At 39.8% G+C, this 26,556-nt stretch overlaps 1 protein-coding gene across 2 annotated transcripts in view, besides 2 other annotated features; it reads right to left on the reverse strand.

Annotated features, from left to right (window-relative positions):
* Positions 1-26,556, reverse strand: part of GNA13 (G protein subunit alpha 13) — a 47,452-nt gene that overhangs the window by 5,782 nt on the left and 15,114 nt on the right. For both annotated transcript variants that reach the window (NM_006572.6, NM_001282425.2), the window contains exon 3: positions 3,183-3,233. In NM_006572.6, the coding sequence (NP_006563.2) occupies positions 3,183-3,233 (51 nt within the window). The remainder of the gene's footprint in view (positions 1-3,182; positions 3,234-26,556) is intronic.
* Positions 12,617-13,556: an enhancer, noted in NCBI's record as "H3K27ac hESC enhancer chr17:63023805-63024744 (GRCh37/hg19 assembly coordinates)". NCBI's record gives its function as "activates a minimal SCP1, AML or CMV promoter by ChIP-STARR-seq in naive H9 embryonic stem cells {active_cell/tissue: H9 hESC(naive)}" and the evidence as "EXISTENCE:reporter gene assay evidence [ECO:0000049][PMID:30033119]".
* Positions 13,557-14,496: an enhancer, noted in NCBI's record as "H3K27ac hESC enhancer chr17:63024745-63025684 (GRCh37/hg19 assembly coordinates)". NCBI's record gives its function as "activates a minimal SCP1, AML or CMV promoter by ChIP-STARR-seq in naive H9 embryonic stem cells {active_cell/tissue: H9 hESC(naive)}" and the evidence as "EXISTENCE:reporter gene assay evidence [ECO:0000049][PMID:30033119]".

Raw genomic sequence — 26,556 nt, forward strand, 5'->3', positions numbered from 1 at the left:
ATATCCTGGGCAATATAGCAAGACCCACTTGTGCTCCCCACAACAAAAGCCAAGATACATTAAAATGTTAGCAGGACGGGTTCAAAATTTACTACAAATGGCCAGAATCTACTTGTTTTCATCCCTGCAATACTACTCAAAATTTAAGCTGAAGTCTTATCAATTGTTCTTACCCACCCTCACTGCTATATATCCACCTGCAATCTTACTCCCCACTATCAGCCACTCTTGGTTCTAGCCAGAGTGATCTTCCTGTCTGCGTATCTACCTTCTCCACACTGCTCCTTGCTCCTCTATTAAAAGCAATGGGGGCTGGGCGCGATGGCTCACGCTTGTAATTCCAGCACTTTGGGAGGCCGAGACGGGCAGATCACGAGGTCAGGAGATTGAGACCATCCTGGCTAACACAGTGAAACCCCATCTCTACTAAAAATACAAAAAAATTAGCCAGGTGTGGTGGCGGGCGCCTGTAGTCCCAGCTACTTGGGAGGCTGAGGCAGGAGAGTGGTGTGAACCCAGGAGGTGGAGCTTGCAGTGAGCTGAGATCATGCCACTGCACTCCAGCCTGGGTGACAGAGCAAGACTTTGTCTTAAAAAAAAAAAAAAAAAAAAAAAAGGCAATGGGATCTGATTCCAGTGCCAATTCACAAGGATCACTTCCCAGTTCCAAGTTCTGCCCACCTCTCTCTAACCTATTCTAAAAGTTCTTTTACTGTGCAACCCCACTCATGACTTAAAACTTCTATGTTTTCATTGCTGCTATATTACATGTGTGAAAAATCCTTTCTCTACTATAATTAATTTCTTACTTATTGACCCAAGAACTCAAACTAGTCACTTACTCTGAGTGTCAGCACCTCTGTCTGTGAAATGGAGGTGATCACACTTGGTCTATATACCTGGGAGGGAGGGTTGTTGCAAGGATCAAATGAGCTCTTCTCTGCACTCTTGGTCAGTGAACTCTAAGACCCTGAACAAACAGAAGCTGCTGGTCACACAAGTCTCTGGCTACTCTGTGATGGCACACTTCCTTATGCAATGTAACTGGTTCTTCCTTGTCAGTCTAGCATTTTTCCAAAACTACAACACAACTTTCTGGTAATACATGAACGGGACAGCTAATATTTATCATCAAGGTCAAAATATTTTAAAAATCAAGGCAGGATTTAAAACAATGCTGTTATTCACAATGCTGCACTTTATGCCTTTCTGAATAGTGTCATATGATTTTGAAATTTCATTACAAGAATACTCATTGTCTCAAAATGGTGCAATGGAATTAAGAATATATATATATACATATTTTTTTGAGATGGAGTCTTGCTCTGTTGCCCAGATTGGAGTGCAGTGGCGGAATCTCGGCTCACTGCAACCTGCGCCTCCCAGGTTCAAGCGATTCTGCTCCTCAGCCTCCCGAATAGCTGGGATTACAGGTGTGCACCACCACGGCCGGCTACTTCTTTGTATTTCTAGTAAAGACGGGGTTTCACCATTTTGGCCAGGCTGGTCTCGAACTCCTGACCTCAAGTGATCCTCCCGCCTCAGCCTCCCAATGTGCTCGGATTATAGGCGTGAGCCACTGCACCCGGCCAGAATTCAGAGTTTTTTAAAAGTAGGTGGGTTCTTAGTTACTGGCAACCAACAGCCATTCATTAAATAACTCTAGGACTCAAGTGTTAGCTTTTCCATGTTTTCTTCTAGCTTTGTTCAGATACACGCCTGCTTTATTTATAATCAGCATATGCACACAGCGTTCAGCCTACCTCTGCATTTTTGCTTAATATTTTGTGAACTGTTCCATATGCTGATACAATCATACCTCATTTTAAAAGACAAGAAAATACACCAAATGCATTAACGTGCTGTACTTTACATTAACATTCCCCTACTAGTGGTCATTAAGGTTGTTTCCAATTTTTAGCCATAATTAACAGAAATACTGCAATTAAAATTCTCATGCACATTTTTTTTTTCCTTTGGACTATTTCCTAAGATTAAAATAATCAGGGGTACGATTATGACGTTAAAGGTTACAAACATTTTAATGACTCTGGATACTTAACACCCGACTGCTTTCTAGAAGGCAATACCAATTTACAACATACACCTATGCCAGCTCCTTCAGAAACACGCCGGGCCCTGAGCTTTTAAAAAATGTAATTCCATAAAAATAAAAAGTTCTCTATTATTGTCTTTGTCTCTATTAAAGCTAATAATCTAGTTAGCAATCTAAAGGCTGCTTCACATGAAGCACAGAACTTCATGCAATCGAGTGCTAAATAGTCTGGCAGAGCAGAGTATGTTGATGAGGACACACACATACTAGCTGTGTGAAGAAGAAGAAACCTGCCTTATGAGGAGGCAAATGAAGCTGTGCTACATTTAGAGAGTAACAGATGACTCTAAGGCAATGGCTTTCAAAATTTTCCTAAGCAGCAGAAACCTTTCTCCCACTGAACTCTTCTGTGTACGCCCAATACAGAGGTCAAACAAGCGAGATGCTCTGCCTGCAGTGGGCCCCGCTGGCCACAGCGCCAGCTTAGAGCTGCTGGCTCCGAGGAATACCTACAGGAAAATGATAGACTCTCTTTTCAAGGGCGACTCCCCCTACCTCGTGGAGTCTCTTCAGCCTTTTAAATCTAGCCCTCCTACTCCGTGACTCGACACAAAGGGGGCATGAATTCGAAAATGTCATTTGTCAAAAGATTTGGAAATCAGTCAACCCACTGTGTTCTATTTCTGTTTACAAACAAAAACCTCTAAAGATACTAAAGTATAACAGATAATGCACAATATCATCTTCAAACACAAACTTCTTTCTCTAAACAGTTTTACTTCCAAGAAATAGCAGACAAAGCATTCCTCAAGAAAATGGTAGAGACCTGGACAGTTAGAGGGAGAAAAAAGAAGTGTCGTGATTAAACAATAAAAATACTTTCATTTTGAAAAAATAAAAATCATTCAATATTCTGAGCTACCAATCACTCTAAATAAAGCAGAGAAGAATCAGAACGCCACCACTAAAAAAAAAAAAAAAAAAAAAAAAAAAAAAAAAAAAAAAAAAAAAAAGAGAGAAAGAAGCAAATAGCTTAATACATAATTTTTCTAAATTTCCTAACATCGATATCCTGACTTCTGCTTTCAAATGGCACTAAACATAAACATTTGGTTTAAACACTTACTGGTTCTCCAAGTTTATCCAAGTTATCCAGGAAATATTTTACAGATTCACCCTAAAAACAAGAAGAAAACAAATAGTTATTAGGGCTTAGAAATGGAAGATCTTGTTACAACAGTTTACATCATACTGTCTGGTTGTACACTTAACCCAAACAGACTTTGTTTAGTCACCAATTTCAGACAGCTAACCTTCCTAAAAACATATAAAACGTCTGCTCTGTCACAGACTGCTAAATCTGCAAAGGCAGGCTGATTTCACAAATGCTTAATAGAATCAATATCCCAAGTGATCATCTGCTTGGACAGGATTACACGCATGCTTTTTGCTATAACTACGTATCCACAGTGAAGACATATAATTAGAAGATGAAAACTGCTTTTGAGATAAAACATAAATCTACATATAAAATTTAAGTGACAGTCTTTTTGTCTACATTTTCTAGCTTAATAGTGACGATAGTTATCTTCAGAGACAAACCAAACCAGAGATGAGGTAAGAATACTGTACAAAATCCCCCAACCACAGGCATGGACAGGCGTGCCTTGCTCAGGAAGGCCCTGGATAGTGCTGCCAGCTTCACATCTCCAACAGGTCTTTTCCCGAGTGGCCTATCCTTTCTGAGCCCAGTTTTCTCGACGAAACTTCCAAGCAATTTCAAACATCTAAACTGTACGAGAATACATTCCTAACATGAAAACGCTTGACCAGAGCACACAGAGAAGAGGGGAACTATTTTGGGAAAGAAGGGGTCTGTGTCCGAGTCTCCTAGTCCTCACCCCCTGCGTTTCACTTTCCCGCGGGATTCTACAGCTGCAGCATTGTCCCTGCCTGAAGCTACTTCCAAGTGTTCCTGAAGCAGCACCTCATTTAGTATGCCTGGGCATCATGTGAAGATCTCCTCACACTGCAGGCTCCGGTTTAGTAGGTCTGGGTGGGACCCCAGTTTCTGCAATTCAAGGAGTGCCTGGGACCACACTTTGAGTCACAAAGCTTGAAAGTAGCAGTTCTATAATTTTTTGGTCTCAAGATCACACAATATGATCCAGCAATGGCACTGCTAGGTATATACCCAAAAGAAAGGAAATGAGTATATGGAGGAGAGAGATATCTGCACCCCCACGTTTACTGCTGCACTCTTCACAAAAGCCAAGATTTGGAAGCAGCCTAAGTGTCCATCAACAGATGAATGGGTAAAGAAAATGTGATACACATACAGAATGGTGTCCTATTTAGCTATAAAAAAGAATGAGATTCAGTCATTTGCAACAACATATATGGAAGTGTAGGTCACTATGTTAAGTGAAGTAAGACAGACACAAAAAGACAAACATTGCATGCTATCACTTATTGGTAGGAGCTAAAAATCAAAGCAATTGAACCCATGGAGATAGAAAGAAGGATGGTTACCAAAGGCTGGGAAGGGCAGCAAGGGTTGGGGTGGCAGGAGGTGGGGACGGCTAATAGGTACAAAAGATAGTTAAAGTGAATGAATATGGACCAGTATTTGATAGCACAACAGGGTGACTATAGTCACTAATAATTTAAGTGTACATTTAGAAATAACCAAAAGAGTATAATTGGATTGTTTGTAACATAAAGGATAAATGCCTGAAGGGAGAGATACCCTATCTTCCATGAGTGATTATTACGCATTGCATGCCTCTATCAAAACAGCTCATGTACGCCAGAAATATATGAATCTATTATGTGCCCACAAAAATTAAAAACAGAAAAATTAAAAAAATAAAAACGGAAGACATGGAAACAAATGATGATGTCTCTGGACTCAATAAGCTCAACAGCTTCTGATCACTTCTTTTTGTGTTTAGTGTCCTCATTCAAATTTTATACAAAGCTCAGTACGAGGCAACTGGTATCCTCTCCTCCTACCTTCCTAAAGTGTCTGGCAGATAAAATATGAATTACTGGGAGGAAGTTACCCTTCAATATTTTTTTCTTAACAATTTCAGAAGTGATCAAAGTCTTCTTGTTTTCTAATATTAATGTTAAGGAACAGATGTGAATTTCAGTCCTTTCTCTAACAAGGAGTGATCTGGCCAAGTCTCTAAACTCCTCCAGGTCTCCATTTCCCCCAGAGTTACATGAAGAAGTTCAGTGGTTCAATGGATAACCAACCGCTTAAGTTCTGCCCTGTGCAACAATTTCAGTTAGTTCCACTGATTTCAAGTTAAGTTCTCCTTTCCTCATAGGCCATGTGTTTGTTAATCCTAAATCTGCTTTTGTTGTGACTCATTCAAGCGGTGTTGCTTCCACGTTCTTTGCTAATAAATAAAGGATTTAATGTATTGTGCAAGAATATTATGGGTTTAAGACTCACTTTTTGCTGGTTGTAACTTGAGGCTCTCATATTTTTCCCAGTTCATTTTATGTTACTGAAGGGAATTTTTTTTTTTTTTGAGACAGGGTCTCAATCTGTTGCCCAGGCTGGGGTGCAATGGCGCGATCTTGGCTCAATACAACCTCCACCTCCCGGGTTCAAGCCATTCTCCTGCCTCAGCCTCTGGGGTAGCTGGGATTACAGGTGTGTGCCTCCGCGCCTGGCTAATTTTTGTATTTTTAGTAGAGACAGGGTTTCCCCATGTTGGCCAGGCTGGTCTTGAACTCCTGACCTCAGGTGATCCACCCGTCTCGGCCTCCCAAAGTGCTGGGATTATAGGTGTGAGCCACCATGACCGGCCTGGAAATTTTAAAAATAAAATTTCAAAGAAATTTCATTTCACAGTTAACACTTTAAAAACTTAAGATTATTTTATTCGGCCCTTAGCTCTTTTTTCTCTGTTCAGAACACTACAGGTAAGTTTCTAGGTTACTGTAGTAAGGCTGAAGAGTAAAAGTAGCATGGCACTCTGAAAAGTGTTCCAATATTTCTTTAGCCTTGTGGATATTTCAGTTCCATTTAAATGGCATAGCAGCCAGTGTACCTGGGTTCCAGCCCCAAGATAGACTTTATTACTGACAAAGTCAACAAACAATATTAGGTGAGCTTCAGTGACCCTTTGAGTATTAGAAGTCTATGAGGTTCCACGAACCATATTTCTTACGAGTTTTACAAAATGGTGTCTAAGCTGGGAATGGCTTCAATGTTGCCCCCACTTCACAACAATAATTTGTTATAAACATCCTTTGCTTGTAAAGACAAAATGGGTCTGGAGTCCTAAGCTTGAAGGTAACAGAAAAGCTAAGAACAAAAGTTAGAAAATAATTTCTATTAAATTCATAGTCATACAGAGAGAGGCTTAGCAGCTTATCGACCCAGTTACTGAACAAGTGACATTTGTATTCAATGCTCTCTTCTGCACAGCTAAAATATTAAAAGGAAAGGATTTAGAATGCACTTCTTTAAAAGGATATGGAATTTAAGCTGGATAGCCAAAGAACACACAAGAAGAACTGATCTGCTGTTTTAGAACATACTCAAAAACACCAGTGGCTTTATGTCAATAAGAAAAGGGCAACTCTGCTTATAGAAAATAGGTAAAGAGTAGAGTTTTTTAATTCAAAGTCTGATTCATGCCTTAAGAATATAACATAAGGTTTATAGAGATGGGTATCAAATATAGATTTTCTAATAAAAAGCAAGGTAAACATATTCTAGAAAGCAATTTGGCAATATGTATTAAGATCTTTCAAATGATCCTCAACACAGTACCACTGAAAAAGTATATACAACTACAACAGTGCTAGTGAATTACTATTATGGCAGAAGGAAGAGCTGGTTGAGAGCAAATGGATTGCTCCTTATATTTAACTAGATTCTGGACCAGGGGTCTGTCCACAAACTATATAGCCTGAAGGCCAAATCCAACCCAATGCCTGTTTTTGTACGGCTCATTTTTAAATGGTTGGGGAAAAAACTTAAAAGACTATTTCATGATATGTAAAAATGATATGAAATTCGAACTTCAACATCCATAAATAAAAATGCACTGGAACACAGCCACGCTCACCTGTTGGTGTATCGTCTATGGGAACTTCCAGGCTACAACAGCAGAGGTGAGGAGTGGAGACTGAGGCAGTGTGTTGCACTCTCATGACTCTGCACCACTGCTTGGTGCACCACAAACTGCAGTGACACAGTTATAACTTGAAAATATTCCAAGTGTCACCAGTATTGCCACACCATGACATTAAAAAAAAAAAAAAGGGAGTAAATACACATCCATCCAAATAAAAAGAAGGCCCTGAATACCACACTTTTAAGGCACAGTAGGATGTAAATAATTTTGCTATCAAATTCCATGGTAAAGCATTATTTATTATGCAATGACACTATAGCTATGCTAGAAGAATACAATGTATGCCAACATTTACAGACTAAGCTTTCTTCAATCCTCCCAACCCACAGAAAAGCAACGGTCATAAAACAAAAACAAAACACATGCAAAATTTTAAAATGGAATAGCTTATCACTGCAGAATTTCTTCACCAAAACAAAAAATGAAATGAGACTGCAACCAAAGTATTTTCAAGTTTTCAAAGTTTTTGTTAGACAAGCAAGGAATGCCATTTACCAAGTGAGTGAGTAACTCATGTTTGATTGTAACAGCTGAAGAAATATGGCCAGAGAAAGTAACCTTGTTTAAGACTATTAGCCTTTCAGTGAGAGCAGCTGCTCAGAGTTGAGGACACTCGGAACAACCATCAACTGTCAATTAAGAAACATGGCAAATTATTTCAGTGGTTTTCCCTGGCTCTTGCTGAGTTTATTACCACAATGCTCAGTTGTTGTTTACTTAGGGAATCAATGCCAAGTTTGAAGTGACTGAAGAACCAGCCTGTATGAACAGTCCATGTGGAAGAGCTACGTGTGAGAGTATTTTCAGAGAAGCTGAGAAAACACTAAATGAGTACAGCCTAAACTGGAATATGCTAGGCTGTGTTACAACTGATGGTGGTAAAAATGCGTGGAACAGAAAGGGGGTCAAACATGCAAAACCTGTGTAAGGGTTACTCACTGCATTACTCATGAGCATGTACCTTGTGGGAAACACATGAATCTATTGTGCTCATGAACGAGTAATGTCAGTGATGAATTTAACACGCTCCTGTGAACCTGACCATCAGCAGGTCATGAGTTTCTGTCAGAAACAAAAAGTGAAAATTCTGACACAGTTCGATGTCTTAGCAGCGCTAAAGTTTTACTGACTTTTTTCTGAGCACAGGGATGGAACTGATTTCTTTTCCTGAACAAGAACTACCCTTAACCACTATTGTTGAACGCTGAATGGTTTCGGAAATTAGCCTTAGGGCAGACTTGATTTGATTTCTGAATGAATTCAACCTAAAATTACAAGGCAAAACGGCACTGTTGGTGAAACTTACACTCTGGTAAAGTCATTTCGACAGCTAGCATAGTTTTAATCAAAACAATGTCAAACTGCTTTATATACTTTCTTTGCTGTCAAAAGTTAAAACAAAAAGTGAGACTTCCATTCCCATACAAATTTCCAGTGGACATAATATTTCTAAACTCTAACTACAGTTCCAACAGCATCTTTCAGACCCCTATGTAAGTGCAAAGGAAATTTCCATATTTCAAAATCCATTTAACTACGCAAATGAAGAGCTTCTACCTAACCTTCAAGTGGTTAATCTGCAATGTAATGACATGCTAAGAGGCAAACACTGAGAAGAATCTAACAGGATTCTGTAAGTATCTCTCAAGCACTGACTATGCTCAATAAAAATCATATGCTATGGCTGGCACGGTGGCTCACACTGTAATCCCAGCACTTTGGGAGGACGCCAAAGCGGGAGGATTGCTTGAGCCCAGGAGTTTAAAACCCACCTAGGCAACATACTGAGACTCATCTCTACAAAAAGTTAAAAAATTAGCTGGGTGTGGTGGCATGTGCCTGTAGTCCCAACTACTAGGGAGGGTGAGGTAGGATCATCACCTGAGCCCGGGGGTTGAGGCTGCAATGAGCTGTGATCATGGCACTGCACTCCAGCCTGGGCGACAGAGCAAGACCTTCTCCAAAAAATAAAAAATCATATGCTCATTTGGTAGTATCTGTGTGAAAATATATTTTCAAGGATGAAATGTGTAAAATCTCATTACAGATCAGAATGGAGGAATATTTGCAACTGACTCTGACAAAAAAATGCTAAAACATTGAATCCCAATAAACAAAATGTTATTCCAAAAGAATCCAATTTTTTTCACATTCGTAGCCACAAAAACTTGCACACAAGTTTATATTTTTAATCTCATCAATAAAACTTTTTATATAAATACCTACATAATGCCCTTGATTTCTTCCCTTGGCACGCAGTGCCTAAAATATTATACTATCTGACCCTTTACACATTTCTAGACCAATGATACTTAATCCTGGTAATCTATCAGAATTACCTAATGTGCTTATTAAAAATACAGATTCCCAGGTCTCCAAACAAATCCACCCAATCAAAATCTTAGCAAGTTCCGAGAGAAGTGATTCTGATGTAGCCAGCCCTCGCATTACTTCAAATCTGGATATATATTTTACTCAAAACTAGATTTCGTATTAATTTCATCTTTTAGGATCAATTACACAAAATCTGTTTTTAAAGTCTAAAAATGCCAAGATAAGAAATTTAGTTTAGTTTTATCTTACTGTACAAGTGGGCTTGTTTTTTGTTTTCTTGAGATAGGGTCTCAACTCTGGTTATCCAGGCTGGAGTACAGTGGCACAATGTAGCCACTGTCGAGGCTCACTGTAGCCTTGACCACCCGGGCTCAGGTGATTCTCCCACTTCAGCCTCCAGCGTAGGTGGGATTACAGGCACTTGCTACCATGCCTGGCTAATTGTTTGTATTTTTAGTAGAGATGGGGTTTCACTATGTTGCCCAGGGTGGTCTCGAACTCCTGGACTCAAGCAACCCACCCACTTCGGCCTCCGGGAGTGCTGGGATTACAAGCATGAGCCACTACACCCAGCTGTAAAAGTGGATTTCAAGCAGTATTTGCATTCTTCATAATTCACCACGTCTCACAAGAAACTATCAGGCCTTCTTTTGGGATATCTGAATCATAAACAATAAAATTAAGTCTATATATAGCTTCCTCTTTTAAAAAAACTTATTTGACAATTCTGACAAGCTTTATTTCCTACTGTACTACAGTTCTAGCTGCCTACTTGTCTATACCCCTAGAGCCTATTTTCAAATGTTCACCATAGTCCACAGCTTTCAAGCTAACTCAGATTTTGTGGTTAAAAATTAATGGACCTGATACTCCAGATGTAACATTACTGAACGTGCTGAGAAGCGCGGATGGGAAAAGTTATCGTTAAGTGCTACTTATATTTTAGCAATAGGACTCTAAGGAACTTGAAACCTCAATTAAACTTACAAAATTAATTTGCTTCTATAATAGACACCTAAACATTGCATGATAGGTAAATAAGCAATTAAAAATGCTTAATAGGCAGCACTCCCTGGCCAGGTTCAGTGGCTCAATGCCTGTAATCCCAGCACTTTGGGAGGCTAAAGAGCAAGGATCGCCTGAGCCCAGGAGTTCGAGACCCAGCCTAGAACACATAGAGAGATCCCATCTCTACAAAAAAAAAAAAAAAAAAATTAGCCGGGTGTGGTGGTGCACGCCTGTGGTCCCAGCTATTTGGGAGGCTGAGGTGGGAGGATCACTTGAGCCTAGGAGTTCAAGACTGCAGTGAGCCACGACTAAGCAGCAGCACTCTCCATCGTTTTACGTGGTAAACAGGTAAAAAAACTGCACTATGATGAAAACAGCAGATAAGACACAACAAAAAAAATTATAAGTAATGTATAAGGTTTTAATTTTCAGAGTTAAAATGAGAGGCCTACTCTGCCAAACATTACTATGATTTTATATATTAGTTAATCATCACTAAAAACCCAAAAACTATACAATTTTCTATATTTTATACTCCCAAAATAAGACCAAATCACTACTCTCCACCAAAATAAAAAAAAAAAACCATAAGACAACACAAAAATCACATCCAACCCTTAAACAAACCTCAAATCCTTCAAATCAAGACTACACTATCCCTCTGAGTCAGGTCAGAGTCCCAATACCAACATAATTGACAAATACAATTTATCACTTTATCATCTGATCCCCAAAGGGAATGATGATCTATAGTTATATCAGGAAGCCATGACTAGAAAATACTCTATGGCTTAGATGTAAGACTTTCCATTAAAAACAAAAACAAAACAGTACTCATTTTCACAAATCATAAGCCAAGTTTATATAGGCTGTAAAATAAAGCCGTTTCCAAAGTAAGTATAATTAAAGAAATAATTTTTTGCCAAATGAATCTTACACTAAAGAATCACAAATTCATCAAAAAATATGAAGCAGAGGGGGTTCATTAAAATACAGAACTTCTAGATCATTCAAGATCTAATATAGTATGAACCCCCTTTTAAGAAAATTGCATAGAAAATGAGATTACAAGGAAACTCATCAAAATGTAACAGTGGTTATAAAGACATATACATGAACCTTTTCCAAGCACATTCAATTTTTTGTTTGTTTGTTTGTTTGTTTTGAGACGGAGTTTCGCTCTTGTTGCCCAGGCTGGGGTGCAATGGCAGGATCCTGGCTCACCACAACCTCCGCCTCCCAGGTTCAAGCGATTCTTCTGCCTCAGCCTTCCAAGTAGCTGGGATTACAAGCATGAGCCACCATGACCAGTTAATTTTGTATTTTTAGTGGAGACAGGGTTTCTCTATGTTGGTCAGGCTGGTCTCGAACTCCCGGCCTCAGGTGATCCGCCCACCTTGGCCTCCCAAAATGCTGGGATTACAGGCGTGAGCCACCGCGCCCGGCCTCTTTTCCCAGCATATTCTTAAGGCTCACTACTTTCTGAAGCAGAAGGAAAGAAACCATTTTATGAAAATCTAGTTTACTGACTTCCTAATAATTTTTCTACAATTCTGATCTTAACACTAGCACTTTTGTGTCCTTTCTCTTGCCTCAGAAATCCAAAGTGCACCTGTCTTTCTCAAATCATCCAGATTTATTTATATAGTAAAGCCAAATTCCCACCTCACACCCCTCCCCCGCCTTTTTTTTTTTTTTAAAGAGATAGGTTTTCACTATGTTTCCCAGGCTGGTCTCAAATTCCTAGGCTCAAGCAGTCCTCCTGCCTCAGCCTTCCAAGTAGCTGGGATTACAGGCGTACCACCACAAGCAGCCACTGGGGGCCCTTTAAAAATCTAAGAAAACCTTTTGCTTAAATTTCCATAGTGGTTTTATCAGCACCTCCTATGGCATGAGTCATTTTCTACCTCATATGCAATCATCTGTGTACTTGTTTTATTTCCTTTTCTACAATGTATTGTTCCTGGGGACAGTTTTTGCCTTCTTAGTCACTGTATCCCTCTAAATATTTGCATATAGTGTTAAATAATATATATGTTTGAAAAAAGTGAGTATCACAGAATTGGACTCTCTTTGAAACTAGGAACACTGACATGCTAATTTCTCCTTTACAACAAAAGGCTTTCCTAAGAATGATGGGAGAGGCCAAAACAAAACCAAATATTCAAAACTTCTATCAGTTAAGAAAACAAGGCTGGGCGTGGTGGCTCATGCCTGTAATCCCAGCACTTTGAGAGGTCAAGGTGGGCAGATTACTTGAGGCCAGGAGTTTAAGACCAGTCTGGCCAACATGGTGAAATCCCATCTACTAAAAGTACAAACATTAGGCTGGGCACGGTGGCTCACGCCTGTAATCCCAGTACTCTGGGAGGCCGAGGTGGGCGGATCACGAGGTCAGGAGATCGAGCTCACGGTGAAACCCCGTCTCTACTAAAAATACAAAAAATCAGCCGGGCGCGGTGGCGGGTGCCTGTAGTCCCAGCTACTCGGGAGGCTGAAGCAGGAGAATGGCGTGAACCCGGGAGGCGGAGCTTGCAGTGAGCTGAGATCGCGTCACTGCACTCCAGCCTGGGTGACAGAGCGAGACTCCGTCTCAAAAAACAAAACAAAACAAAAGTACAAACATTAGGCGGGCATAGTGATGGGCTCCTGTAGTCTCAGCTACTTGGGAGGGAGGTTGAGGCAGGAGAACTGCTTGAATCCGGGAGGCAGAGGTTGCAGTGAGTTGAGATCACGCCACTGCACTCCAACCTGAGCGACAGAGTGAGGCTGTCTCCAAAAAAAAAAAAAAAAAAAATACCACCTACCATATAAGGAAGAAAGTGGAAAAAAAAAACCCACTTCACAGGTGATTCTTAAGGTTGCTCATCATCTACTTGCAAGAACCACTGTAATTATAATTTTCCTAAATGGTAGCAGTTGCCTCTTGTAATTAGCTCACTGGTACTTAGGGCATTTCATGAAATACTTGAGCCTAAGAAGACTGTTTCATGTGTCATGAGAGGTATGACTGCAGATCACTTGTCTTGGCCTCAACACTAGGATGATAGCGCCACAACCTTAAGCAACTTTCAGGTCACCAAGAAAGATGAAAGTCAAGGAATACAGATCAAACTATCTCTAATTCCTGCCTCCCTACTTTACTCTTCAGCTCCACACCACCTTCTTCTTCCAATCTGCAGCCTCCACTTCCCCCACCTACACACCTTCCAGAGAGCTACAGCCTCTACATGCAGTCTCTAGAATCTAGCCTTCCCCAAGTAGGTGACAGTTTCCTTAAAGAGGAATACTATGGATTTTGTTTCTTAAAAAGGAGGTAGAAACAAAAAGAAAAAGAAAAAGAAAAAAAAAGGAGGCAGAGTTACTGATATAATACTGAGAAGTTCACCTGAATGAGAAACATAAGGATGTTGGGAAAAACTTGGTGAACACTGAAGGATCAAGGATACTGTTCAGTTGTGCTGCTGAGTCAAAAAGTATTTACCAAGAACTACCTAAAACAGGAGAAATATAATAGTATCTGATAAAATGCTGAATTAGCTATGCAGTTAGCATGTCTCGTGTTTGAAGTCTCCAGCTAGTCCCAACTGACTATCTCCAACATTATCTCCTACTTTTCCCTATGAAACAAGCTCCATGCTCATCTCCCCATGCTTCTGGAAAATTCTGTGCATATTCCTACCTCCTCTGCCTAACACCATTTCCCCCACACGCCTCTGCTTCCACCTCTCCTTCTGGGGTTCTTACTATTATACAGGGAGCAAAGATAAATTTTAAGTTGGAAGACAGCTTGGAGAACAAGTAACCTTATGCTCCATTTTACAGATGAGAAGCCTAAGGGTCAGGGAAGTTAGGTGGCTTAGCCAACAAAACTGTTTCAGTGGCAGAACCAAGAATTTAATGTATCCTGATTCTTATTTTTCCCCTACCTCCACTGCAACTTCCCAACTCTCGGTAATCATACTCTTCACTCAATATCTTTTGCACTTACGGTTTATACCACTCATGGCACTTCTTTATTTTTATATGTAGTCCTACATGTCAAATTTAGACTCAAAATCTCTTTGCTACACCTCCCTGTATCCTAGGATAGCAATTTTACCCTGTACAGAGCAATAGCTACATAAACATCTGTTGAATTTTTTGTATTATAACTTCCCCTTTATGACATCCTGTTTCCATCTTATTATTTCTACAAATGTCAGAGTTGTCACAAGCATAATACATTGAACGGGAAGGTTTTTTTTTTTAAAGGCAACTTTCTGCCACTAAATTCCACTTGTTTATAAATGTAAATGCTAAAGACAGAAAAGAGATCAACTCAAATGTACATGGCAAAGATCTTCAGTGGCATAAAGTGCGTGACTCTTTTCAGTAAGTCTGAATGCTTTGAAGAGCACTGTAGGCAGTGGTACGGGAAGATGCTAAGACAAAATGGGAAGCTCCTACTCCATGTAAGTAACCACTCAGTGTTAACATCAATCAAAAAGACATCCCATAAAAGTGATAAAGTATCCTGGTAGTTCGAAGAGAATAATATAAAGATAGAATTTGGAAGGAGCAAAGATGATGACAAATCTTCCTAACTGCTTTTTCTCTGAGCAGATTTAGAAACTTTCAGAATATTTATAATCCTGAAGTTTCAGCAGATCCAAATTCAAAGTAATGACCAAGCAGGGCTATTAACTACTCCAAGACTAGATCTCCAGATGCTGGTGAAGAATCACAGATCATGCAGAATTTGAAAGGTTTGTTTTTGTCATAGATAGTATATGTTCTAATGATTAATACCGGAAATCTGACAAAGGTCAAATTCTGATAATGAGAATGTTAGGTAATAATATGCATCACACATGTAATTAACTTCATTTTACTGGATTTTATAGACTATAATGAAGGTCAGAAGACTATCACACTCAAGTAGGCTATTCAAAAGTTTGTTTGCTACTAAAATAAAACATCACTGCTTAATCTTGTAAAATGTCCAGAATTTAATTGCAGGCCAATTAAGAATGTACGTAAATGGCAGAAATTTCACTTTGAAAAAAACAAGCCAACTATAAAGGACAAAATAAAGTGAATTAAAAAGTTTCCAATTTTGGTTGGGCATGGCTGCTCATGCTTGTAATCTCAGCACTTTGGGAGGCCAAGATCAGAGGACTTTTTGAGCCCAGGAGTTCAAGACCAGCCTGGGCAACATAGCAAGACCCCATCTCAATTTTTTAAAAAAGTACCCAATTTTTATGTGTTGAGATCTCTTTAGTTATGAGGCTAACATCACCTGCAAGTGTCTTTTAAAAGTAAACAACTCAAAAAATATTGAAAGTAAAAGAAAATCTATATTACCAAGATAATTAAGTAGAGTTTCTTCTGAAACCTAAGTATACATGTGATTCCAAAAATGAAAGTATAATTCAAAGTTAATATCCAGTTTTTCTTTATAGAGAACCAACCAAGTGCTATAAAGAGCAGAACATCTTAATTACTAGCATACACAGCCTACTACATACCTCGGCTATATGGCATGGCCTATTGCTTCTAGGCTACAAAGCTGTACAGCACGTTACTGTACTGAATAGGGTAGGCAGCTGTAATACAATGGTAAGTATTCGTGTATCTAAACATAGGAAAGGTACAGTAAAGATATACTACAAAAGATTTTAAAAATGCTACACCTGTATAGGGCAGCTCCCTTATCATCTTACAGGGCCGCCATTTTATATGCAGTCAGTCCTTGACCAAAACATCTTCCTGGCACACGACTGTAAATGTCTGTGTTCTAAAATAGCTAAGCCCAATGGTTTAAATGGTTTACACACTTCCCATGCATATATAAGTCCTTTGTTGTGCAAGTTTGGAACATTTCAAAGAGGAAAAAGAATCAAGTGATATCAGAGAAAACTGGAAATCTAAGTTTATTCATACTTAATCACAACTGTGAGTTACTTTTATTATCGTAAGGTTTTTATATACCTATAATATACTTTTAATTTCCATCAGTGTTATAATCCCAAAACAAATCCAGGTCAAAATGTTTTCTAAATATTTATTAGGCAGGACTCATTAAGCATATGCTTGGGGAAAGCTATTCAATAGCAAACTTATTAACTTGCTTTTAAAAGAGACCTAAGAGTTGGGCATGGTGGTGCATGCCTCTAATTCCAGCTACTCAGGAGGCTGAGGTGAGGTAGGGGGTACTATTGAGCCCAGGAGTTCTACACCAACCCGGACAACATAGAGAGAGAGAGAGAGAGAGAGAGAGAGAAAGAGAGAGAGAGAGAGAGAGAGAGAGTGTGTGTGTGTGTGTGTGTGTGTGTGTGTGTGTGTATAAAAGAGACCTAGATATAGGCTTTTATCAATAATTCGCATATGTATACACTAATAATTTCAGTCCTGGAAACATCTTGATAAAGTCATATATAAATAAGGAGCTGTTCATTGTAACAGTAGGCTTATAATGAAGTCTATTCAGAAGCCATTCCATCTAGCATGTACTTACATAAAGTTTTCAGCAACAATTAAATGCCAAACATAAATAGATACAAAATGGAAAACTCTGGGGTTAAGGCTGGTTAATCAACCAAGACTTTTCGATTCAACCCGAGGATATGGCTAGTAAAAAGACAGAAGGTAATATTTATTAGTACTTACACTCAATTTCCCACCCTATCTGTCCTTTCTCTCTCGTCTCTCCACATATTAACATAAAAATATGAAATATACCATGAGATTGTTCTGCCCACACTATCTGAAATCTATTACATGCAATTCCTTAAAGACAGTAAATACAAAACCAGGCCTGATTACATTTTAAGTTTATTCACAGCTTTGAAAATGATTTTAAAGTTAAAAAATCTTGGAACCATCCTATTTCAAACATTTGAAATATACTACCTCTTATCCTAGGTCTTTCTCCCTTTAATTTTTATTTCAAATTAAGTGTGATAAAGAATGACTTGAGAAGGTCTTCCCAGTCCAAAGGCTGGCTTTACATACAGCATACAAAACTCTCCTCCTGGTTCTCAGAGCTTACCATGGACCAGTTTCACTTCTTTTATTTAATGCCTTTCCAACATTTTCATTTTGCTTGGTTGTCACACGGGACCTATTCTATTGGTCTTTATCTTTGATATTGCCTTTTCTGCCCCATGGCTTTCTCTATGACTTCATTTTTCTCTGGAAAAAAAACACAGTATTAGGCTGGGTGCGGCGGCTCATGTCTGTAATCCCAGCACTTTGGGAGGCTGAGATGGGTGGATCACCTGAGGTCAGGAGTTCTACACTAGCCCGGCCAACTTGGTGAAACCCCGTCTCTACTCAAAATGCAAAAATTAGCCGGGCGTGGTGGCTGGCACCTGTAATCCCAGCTACTCAGGAGGCTGAGGCAGGAGAATTGCTTGAAACCAGGAGGCAGAGGTTGCAGTGAGCCAAGATCGTGCCACTGTACTCTAGCCTGGGCAACAGAGCGAGACTCCATTTAAAAAAAAAAAAAAATCACAGTACTTGATGTGATGTATAGGATATGTTTTCAATGAGGGTAATACTGTCATTGTTATCATTAGAGCATAGTTAGGCTGGACACACTGGCTGACACCTGTAATCCCAATGCTTTGGGAGGCCAAGGTGGGAGGATCGTTTGAGCCCAGGAGTTCGAGACCAGCCTGGGCAACAAAGCAAGACCCCATCTCTAAAAAAAAAAGAAGAAATCAGCTGGGTGTGGGTGTGTGGTAGACCTGTAGTCCAGCTACTAGGAGGCTGAAGCAGAAGGATTGCCTGAGCCCAGATGTGCAAGGCCATAGTGAGCTATGATTGCACCACTGCACTCCAGCCTGGGTGACAAAATGAGACCCTGCCTTTAAAAAAAATAATTAAAAAAAAAAAATTAAAAAAATTACAGCATACTCAAAGTACCACCAGTCATGCCTTTCTGTTTAGTTCAGGAGGAGTAAAATGTTCAGTTCATGAGGAACAAAACTTATAGCCGACAAGCCATTTTCCTTTGCTGTGTAGATACATAAAAATTAAGCAGACTCCAAGTGAATACACAGTTCCAAATTTCTTGCCAGCAATTTCTATGTACATCAGTTAAAATTTTCAAAAGAGGCCGGGCTTGGTGGCTCACACCTGTGATCCCAACACTTTGGGAGGCCGAGGTGGGCGGATCACAAGGTCAGGAGTTTGAGACCAGCCTGGCCAATATGGTGAAACCCTGTCTCTACTAAAAATACAAAAATTAGCTGGGTGTGGTAGTGGGCGCCTGTAGTCCCAGCTACTCGAGAGGCTGAGGCAGGAGAATCACTTGAACTCAGGAGGCGGAGGTTGCAGTGAGCCAAGATCACCCTGCTACACTCCAGCCTGGGCAACAGAGCAGGACTCCGTCTCAAAAAAAAAAAAAAAAAAAAAAAAAATCCAAAAGAACCAAAATTAGTCAGTTACATCATAAACCATTTCAATATTTGAAAATTTCTTTTTCAAACTAAGTATCTTTCCAGACCAATGTAAGACAGTCTATAATAGCATAAGTAGAATACTACCTTTATCTCACTTAGATAAGTTATTTCAATGTTTTCTAGCATATAAGCTACAAAAATAAACTACTGCACATGAAATAAGAGCTTTTTTGGAAAGAACTTATTACATTATTCTAGAAATTGCCTTTTTCTTGTTGCTGCTCACAAATTAATAAATTCCTCTTTATATCAAGTTTTTGTGTTGGCCTTATCACCAAAATAATTTAAGGCTAATAATTTTTTTTTTTTTTTGAGATGAAGTCTTTTCCTGCCTCAGCCTCCCGAGTAGCTGGGACTACAGACACCCGCCACCACGCCCAGCTAATTTTTTGTATTTTTAGTAGAGACGGGGTTTCACCCTGTTAGCCAGGATGGTCTCGATCTCCTGACCTTGTGATCCACCTGCCTCGGCCTCCCAAAGTGCTGGGATTAAAGGTGTGAGCCACCGTGCCTGGCCCAAGGCTAATAATCTTAATGATCCAAGTGTTCTAGGAGTATTTCCGTAGTCCTATCAAATGTTAACACAAAATGTACAACGCAGTTTAGTAATTCTCCTACTACAGAAGTCACAAAAAAAGGACCTTACTAAAATGCTTCATCGTGGAGAAACAGAGAAAAAAGTTTTAGCCATATGTTTAGTATTTATTTTATTTTATTTTTTTGAGATGGAGTTTTGCTCTTGTTGCCCAGGCTGGAGTGCAATGGCACGATCTCAGCTCACTGAAACCTCCGCCTCCCTGGTTCAAGCGATTCTCCTGCCTCAGCCTCCTGAGCACCTGGGATTACAGGCATGTAACACCACGCCTGGCTAATTTTGTATTTTTAGTAGAGATGGAGTTTCTCCATGTTTGTCAGGCTGGTCTTGAACGCCCGACCTCAGGTGATCCACCCGCCTTGGCCTCCCAAAGTGTTGGGATTACAGGCATGAGCCACGGTACTTAACAAAATTAAGTACAAATTTTAAATGTGAGAAAGGAGTTTAATACTGCAGAGATGGGTCAGCTCTGACATCATATATATTGCTGATCAGGTAGCAACATGGTAATATTTACCCCATATTTGTTCCATGTTACCATTTAGCACCACTATCTTCTGTTGGCTAAAAAAATACATATATAGCGGGAAGAATTTTCCATTTAAATAAAAAATACACATCTATTTCTAAAAAATGCCTTGCTGCTCCTCTGAGAAAATCACCTCCTCCAGGAAATGCTCATGATGCAACATTAAATGAACAGGATATAAAGTTGTACAGAAAGTACAAACAAGCTTATCTCAACATCCAATATCGTATTCAAATACTGGAAGGAAATACACCAAAATGTCAGCAGAGATGTCCTGAGGTGGTAGGATAGTGGCTAACTGGATGATATTTTACAATGAACCATGTATGTTTTAAAATTTTAAACTTAAAAAAAACAAGCTAATTAAGGTTCTGGAGCCTGTAAGTCATGAACAGACAAACCACTTTCCTACTCTTCAGTTTTCACATAATGATAACAACAGAAAGCTTAAGAATTCTGAGCCTTGAAAAATCCCTCAAGGTTAAAATACTTTTTTGAAAAGGGCCAATCATATATAATCCCATCAGCATATCAAGAAATATTTAGCTTTGTCAGAACTAGAACCCTTCGTTGTTAATTTTTTTTTTTTTTGGATTCCCAAAAAGCAACGACTTCAATTGTTAAAAAGAAAAAAAGTATATGCTGTTTTCCAACGCAGGACATACTTCCCAAATACAGTTTCAATTCCTCCACTATCTAAAGAGAGGCGCCTATTAGAGCGCTTCATAATACCCCGAAGTCCTCGTGAACGCACTCCAGGTGGAAAATTCTGCTGTGATGATGTGCTAAAAAATACCCTATAACTCAAATATTACACAATAATCAACACTAATTAATAAGGTAATTCTACGCCTATGATCACAAAACAGGTGAAAGGAAAACCCAGATGACTTTATTCCCAGTTTAGAGCTCAATCATTATCCCAACCAAACTCTCTCCAGAAGAAAATTTCCACACAGCCTATAAGGAGCACTAAATACTTTCCCATCCTTCACAGTCAGGCAGCAAAGCAAGCCAACCTGTAAATATTTTCAAAAGCTGATGAATGTGAAAATTAGCTCAAAATGTATGCTGGCACATCAGCTCCTGTTTCCAAGTCCCGATTTGGTCAATTTTGTTACTAAGGAAGCAATAAAGCAAGGCAGCTGAGTATCAGCCTCGGGCTTTGGAATCCTACAACCCGGAGTCTGAATCTTGGCTCTATCACTAAAACTAGCTGGGCCAGGCACGGTGGCTCACGCCTGTAATCCCAGCACTTTGGGAGACCAAGGTGGGTGAATTGCTTGAGGCCAGGAGTTTGAGATCAGCCTGGCCAACATGGCAAAACCCTGTCTCTATTAAAACTACAAAAATTAGGTGGGTGTTGTGGTGCGTGCCTGTAGTCCCAGCTACTCAGGAAGGTGAGGCATAAGAATCGCTTGAATCTGCAAGACAGAGGTTGGAGTGAGCCTACATCGTGCCACTGCACTCCAGCCTGGGTGAAAGAGTGAGACTATGTCCCAAATAAATAAATATATAAATAAATAAAACTAGCTGTGACCTTAGCCTCTATGTGTCCTTCACCTCTGTGGCCATATGCTTTACTTACAAAATGACCAGAACTCGACTACATGCTCTCTCAGGTCATTTCTAGGTTAATAAAGAGTGATTCTGCACACTCTTGGCAGAACAGCTGCTAGTGCAGTAAATGATCGCACTGATCATTTCATTTGCTCCCCACTAGATTGGGAGCCCCCATTAAGGCAGCCAGACAGGCAGTTCACTTGGGTTGCTAGGGCCTAGTCTGGGCCAAGAACATACTAGGGGCAGGTATTCAGTACATGTTTGCTGAAGAATGAATGAGTGCAATGTATATAACTGATCAGGTTATTACCCCAACTAAATTGGAAATGATCATAAGTAAAATAATCAAGAATAAAGTGAAAAACTCTTCTGTATTTGCCTGACCCAGCAGATTAACAATCTTATGAACTAATATTTAATACTTCTGAGACTGAAATTCAAATAAATTGGTTAATATAAATAAAATGTCCTCTCAAACTTTAAAAAGGTCAGAAAAACCACAACTTACTAAGCCAGAGGGTTGAAAGTACTGTAAAAGGGAAAAGAGAACAGTGAGCTTGACTTCAACTGAATCTTCTCCACTTCCTCGCCTCTCTCTCCTCTTAAGCCCTTCTAGGCTGGCCTCTCCCTCACCAGGGCACCTGCTGCCATAGTCAGCATATCCAACTTTCCTGTGCCAACATCGATTCTTCCTAGAATTCTTCCTAGACCTCTCAATGGCACAGGACACCACTGACCACTTTTTTCTTCTTGAAACACTTTCCTGGCTTCCATGACGTGACATGTGCCTACATTTCTCCTACCTTTCTGGCCACTTCTGCTAGGATCTCCTCCTCTGAACATTCTCAAAAGATGTAGAGATTTCTCAAGACTCTACTGTCAGACTGAGCACAGTGGCTCACACCTGCAATCCCAACACATTGGGAGGCCGAGAGAGGCAGACTGCTTGAGCCCAGGAGTTCGAGACCAGCCTAGGCAACATGGAGAGAGACCCAGCCTCTACAAAAATGGAAAAAAAAAAAAAAAAAAAAAAGACAAAAAGACTCTACCGTGAGCCTTCATCTCTTCTTTTTACACCCTTTCCCCGAGTAATCATATCAGAAAAATTATACTCAGTAATTATTTCACAGACATTAAATATCTCCTAGATACAAACACCTCCTCAATTTCTATCTCTAGCCCCAAACTGTTCTGGATTCAAGACTCATGTATCAAGCTGTCAACCTGGTATCTCCACCCATACATCTCACAGAGATCTCAACCTAGTACTTAAGCTCGTTGACTTCCAACAGGGTTATGCCTCAACAAACCCATCACTTAAGATGAAAATATCGTTAAGTCAAAAACACATTTATGGCCGGGTGCAGTGGCTCATGCCTGTAATCCCAGCACTTTGGGAGGCCGAGGCAGACAGATCACAAGGTCAGGAGTTCGAGACCAGCCTGGCCAATATGATGAAACCCTGTCTCTACTAAAAATACAAAAATTCACCGGGCCTGGTGGCACGTGCCTGTAATCTCAGCTACTTGGGAAGCTGAGGTAGGAGAATCGCTTGAAGCTCGGAGGCGGAGGTTGCAGTGAGCCAAGATTGCACCACTGCACTCTAGCCTGGGCAACAGAGCAAGACACCATCTCAAAAAAAAAAAAAAACCATTTATTTTTAGAGACAGGGTCTTGCTTTGTCACTCAGGCTTGAGTACAGTGGCATAATCACGGCTCACTGCAGCCTCAACCTCCTGGGCTCAAGGGATGCTCCCACCTCAGCTCTGAGTAGCTGGGACCACAGGCATACACCATCGTACCCAACTATTTTTCTGTATTTTTAGTAGAGACGGGGTTGCGGGGGGGCGTTTCTCACCATGTTGGCGAGGCTGGTCTCGAGCTCTTGAGTTCAAGCAATCCGCCCACCTTGGCCTCCCAATGTGTTGGGATTACAGGCGTGAGCCACCGTGCCCCGCCCAAAAATACATTTAATACATCTAACCCACCAAGCATCACAGCTTAGCCTAGCCTCCCTTAAACATGCTTGGAACACTTACATCAGTTGATAGTTGGGCAAAATCATCTAGCACAAAGCTTATTTTATAATAAAGTGTTGAATATCTCACAACGTTTACTGAATACCATACTGAAAGTGAAAAACATAACGGCTATATGGGTACCTGAAGTACAGTTTCTACTAAATGTGTATTGCATTTACACCACCATAAAGTAAAAAAATCGTTAAGTCAAACCACAGTAAACCAGGGACTGTCTGTATGCCCAAACTAAACTCTTAATCATCCCCCTCAAATATCATTCTCCCATGATCCTGTGATTTGAGTAAATAGCACCAATATCCACCTAGTTGATAAAGCCAGAAACTTGAGTCACTCTTAATATATGCCTTTCTTCCCTACCCCACATCCAATCTAGCAGATCCCAATGATTTTCCCTACAAAGTATATCCTGAATCCATTTTCTTCTCTTATCTCTACAGCCACCAACTGACGACAAGCTGCTTGCTCTGCAATAGTCTCCAAACTCTGGAACTGGTTAGGACGAAGAACAGTATCTGGTGCAAAGGCTCTCCCTCACTCCCCTCTAACTTCCACACAGCAGCCTGAGTGATCTTGCTTAAAATCCTTTGGTGGCTTCCCAAGGCAGTCAGAGAAACCCCAAACTTCTCAACATGGGCTACAAGGCCTGGCAGTCACAGGCTGCTGCCTGCCTCTTCCACCTCAGTTCTCCCTCACTCACTCCTCCACCCTGGCCTGGATCACGTTTTCTGACCAGCAGTAAGTTTTTTTCCAACTTTGCACATGGTGCTCATTCTGCCTGGAGCATTCTTCCCCCTCCTTTCCTGGAGGACTTTCTCATCCATGGGATCTGAACCTAAATGTTGCCTCCTCAGACCATCCTCTTGGTCTCTCATTGTTTCTCTTCCTTCGCAGCATTTACCACATGTGTAATTACATATTTGTTTGCATATTTCATGTAGATTACTCTGACTAGCATCTAACGTCAACGCAGAGATTACTTTCACTTGGTTCACTAGCAAACACCTAACCCACAAAAAGGTAACTGACTCATTAATAGGTGTTCAGTAACACGTGACTGCATGGCTGCTGAAAGCTACCAGTGAACTGTTACCAGACCTGTTTCAGAATAACACATTTCCTGTAATCCACTACCTAGGGCTTTCTTGTCTCCTCATCACTTTTTGCATTCGCTAGTTACTTTTCATATAGAATAAAATATAATTACATATACAAATATCACATGAACATATTCTTACCAGAAAAAGTATTTCTATAGAATGAAGCTTTTTAATAAAATACTTTTTCAAAAAAAAAAGACACAGTAAGGCCAACTGTGCAAAATACTGTACAACAAGGGGAACCTTGGTTCTCTTACTAAACTATTAAACAAAACACCAACTTTAAAATTGGTTGCAACATTTAATCATAACATACCATAATTGGAAAAGTCCAGAAAAAATGGAAGCAAGTATAATTCTCCTTGTTCTAGTCTAGAGTTGAAATGTATATTATCTTTATGGCAACAGTTTAAAGTCCCTACCATGTTTGAAGCTGTGGCAAATAGTTTAACAGTAAATGTGGCAAGCTGGTAACAGTTAAAAATAGCAAATCATTTGTATTATAATATTTTTAACTGAATTGGATAAATCACATTTTCTTTTTAAAATTTGCAATTAGGATAAATGGTATTTGCAACTTTGTGAACATACAGTATTATTTAGGTTTTGTTTTTTTTGAGACGGAGTCTTGCTCTGTCACCAGGCTGGAGTGCCGTGGCATGACCTTGGCTCACCGCAACCTCCAACTCCCTGGTTCAAGCCTCAGCCTCCCAAGTAGCTGGGATTACAGGTGCCCGCCACCACGCCCAGCTAATTTTTGTATTTTTAGTAGAGACGGGTTTCACCATCTTCGCCAGGATGGTCTCGCTTTCCTGACCTTGTGATCTGCCTGCCTTGGACTCCCAAAGTGCTGGGATTACAGCCATGAGCCACTCTGCCCAGCCAATAATTTAGGTTTTTAAAAACCCGTTAGTTGAATAGCAACTTTATCTGTCTAAAGTATACCCCCGTACATTCTCTCATGTGTTAGGCTTACTGTAGCAGTTGGCCAGGCAATAACTTGTGAGCAACTCTCTAGCAACATGGAAATTCTGGGACAGCTGCTCATTGCTAGTAGCTTCCATAAATGTTTCTTTTATTTAATATCAATGAAAAGATACAACCACATTTCACATCATGATGCTTAAATAAAAATCACATGATGATATATCTGATTTTCTATATAACTTCTGAGCCAATTCATCCTATTTAGCAGAAAAATAATTTTTTAAAAAGAGACTAAGAAAACAGTAACCAAGATGTTGAAAAGGAAAGTGAAAGTCTCTTGCCCCAATTATTCATTATTCCAGCTCTTTTTCTTTAACCTTTCCAAAAGAGTTTAAAGAGAAAAGAAATGGCCTATTTACAAGCTAAATATAGCTGCCTTGGCTCAAAGAACCCAATGACATTGTTTTATGTTTTTTGGGGAGAGTGAGGTGGTATAGAAGAGTTTTGTTTTTAAATGCTAAAATCAATACTTTCTTCTTTGAGGGGAGCAAATTTGAAATTTGCTAATTTTGCTCCATGAGAAAAAGTAGATATTCTCTAGACTTTTTAGTTGGTTTTTATACAAAATAGTCAGAAGTTTTAAGATCTCACAAAAAACATGGAATCTAAAAAAAAAAATATATATGTATTTTGTGAACATATGAATTTTTTTACCTTGGAAATGAAGCTCTAACACCCTCTTTAACTAAGTACTCTCAACGCCTCTGCTAAGTCACAGGGCAGAGAAATGACA

The sequence above is a fragment of the Homo sapiens genome, chromosome 17 (assembly GCF_000001405.40).
Source record: "Homo sapiens chromosome 17, GRCh38.p14 Primary Assembly".
Taxonomy (NCBI): domain Eukaryota; kingdom Metazoa; phylum Chordata; class Mammalia; order Primates; family Hominidae; genus Homo; species Homo sapiens.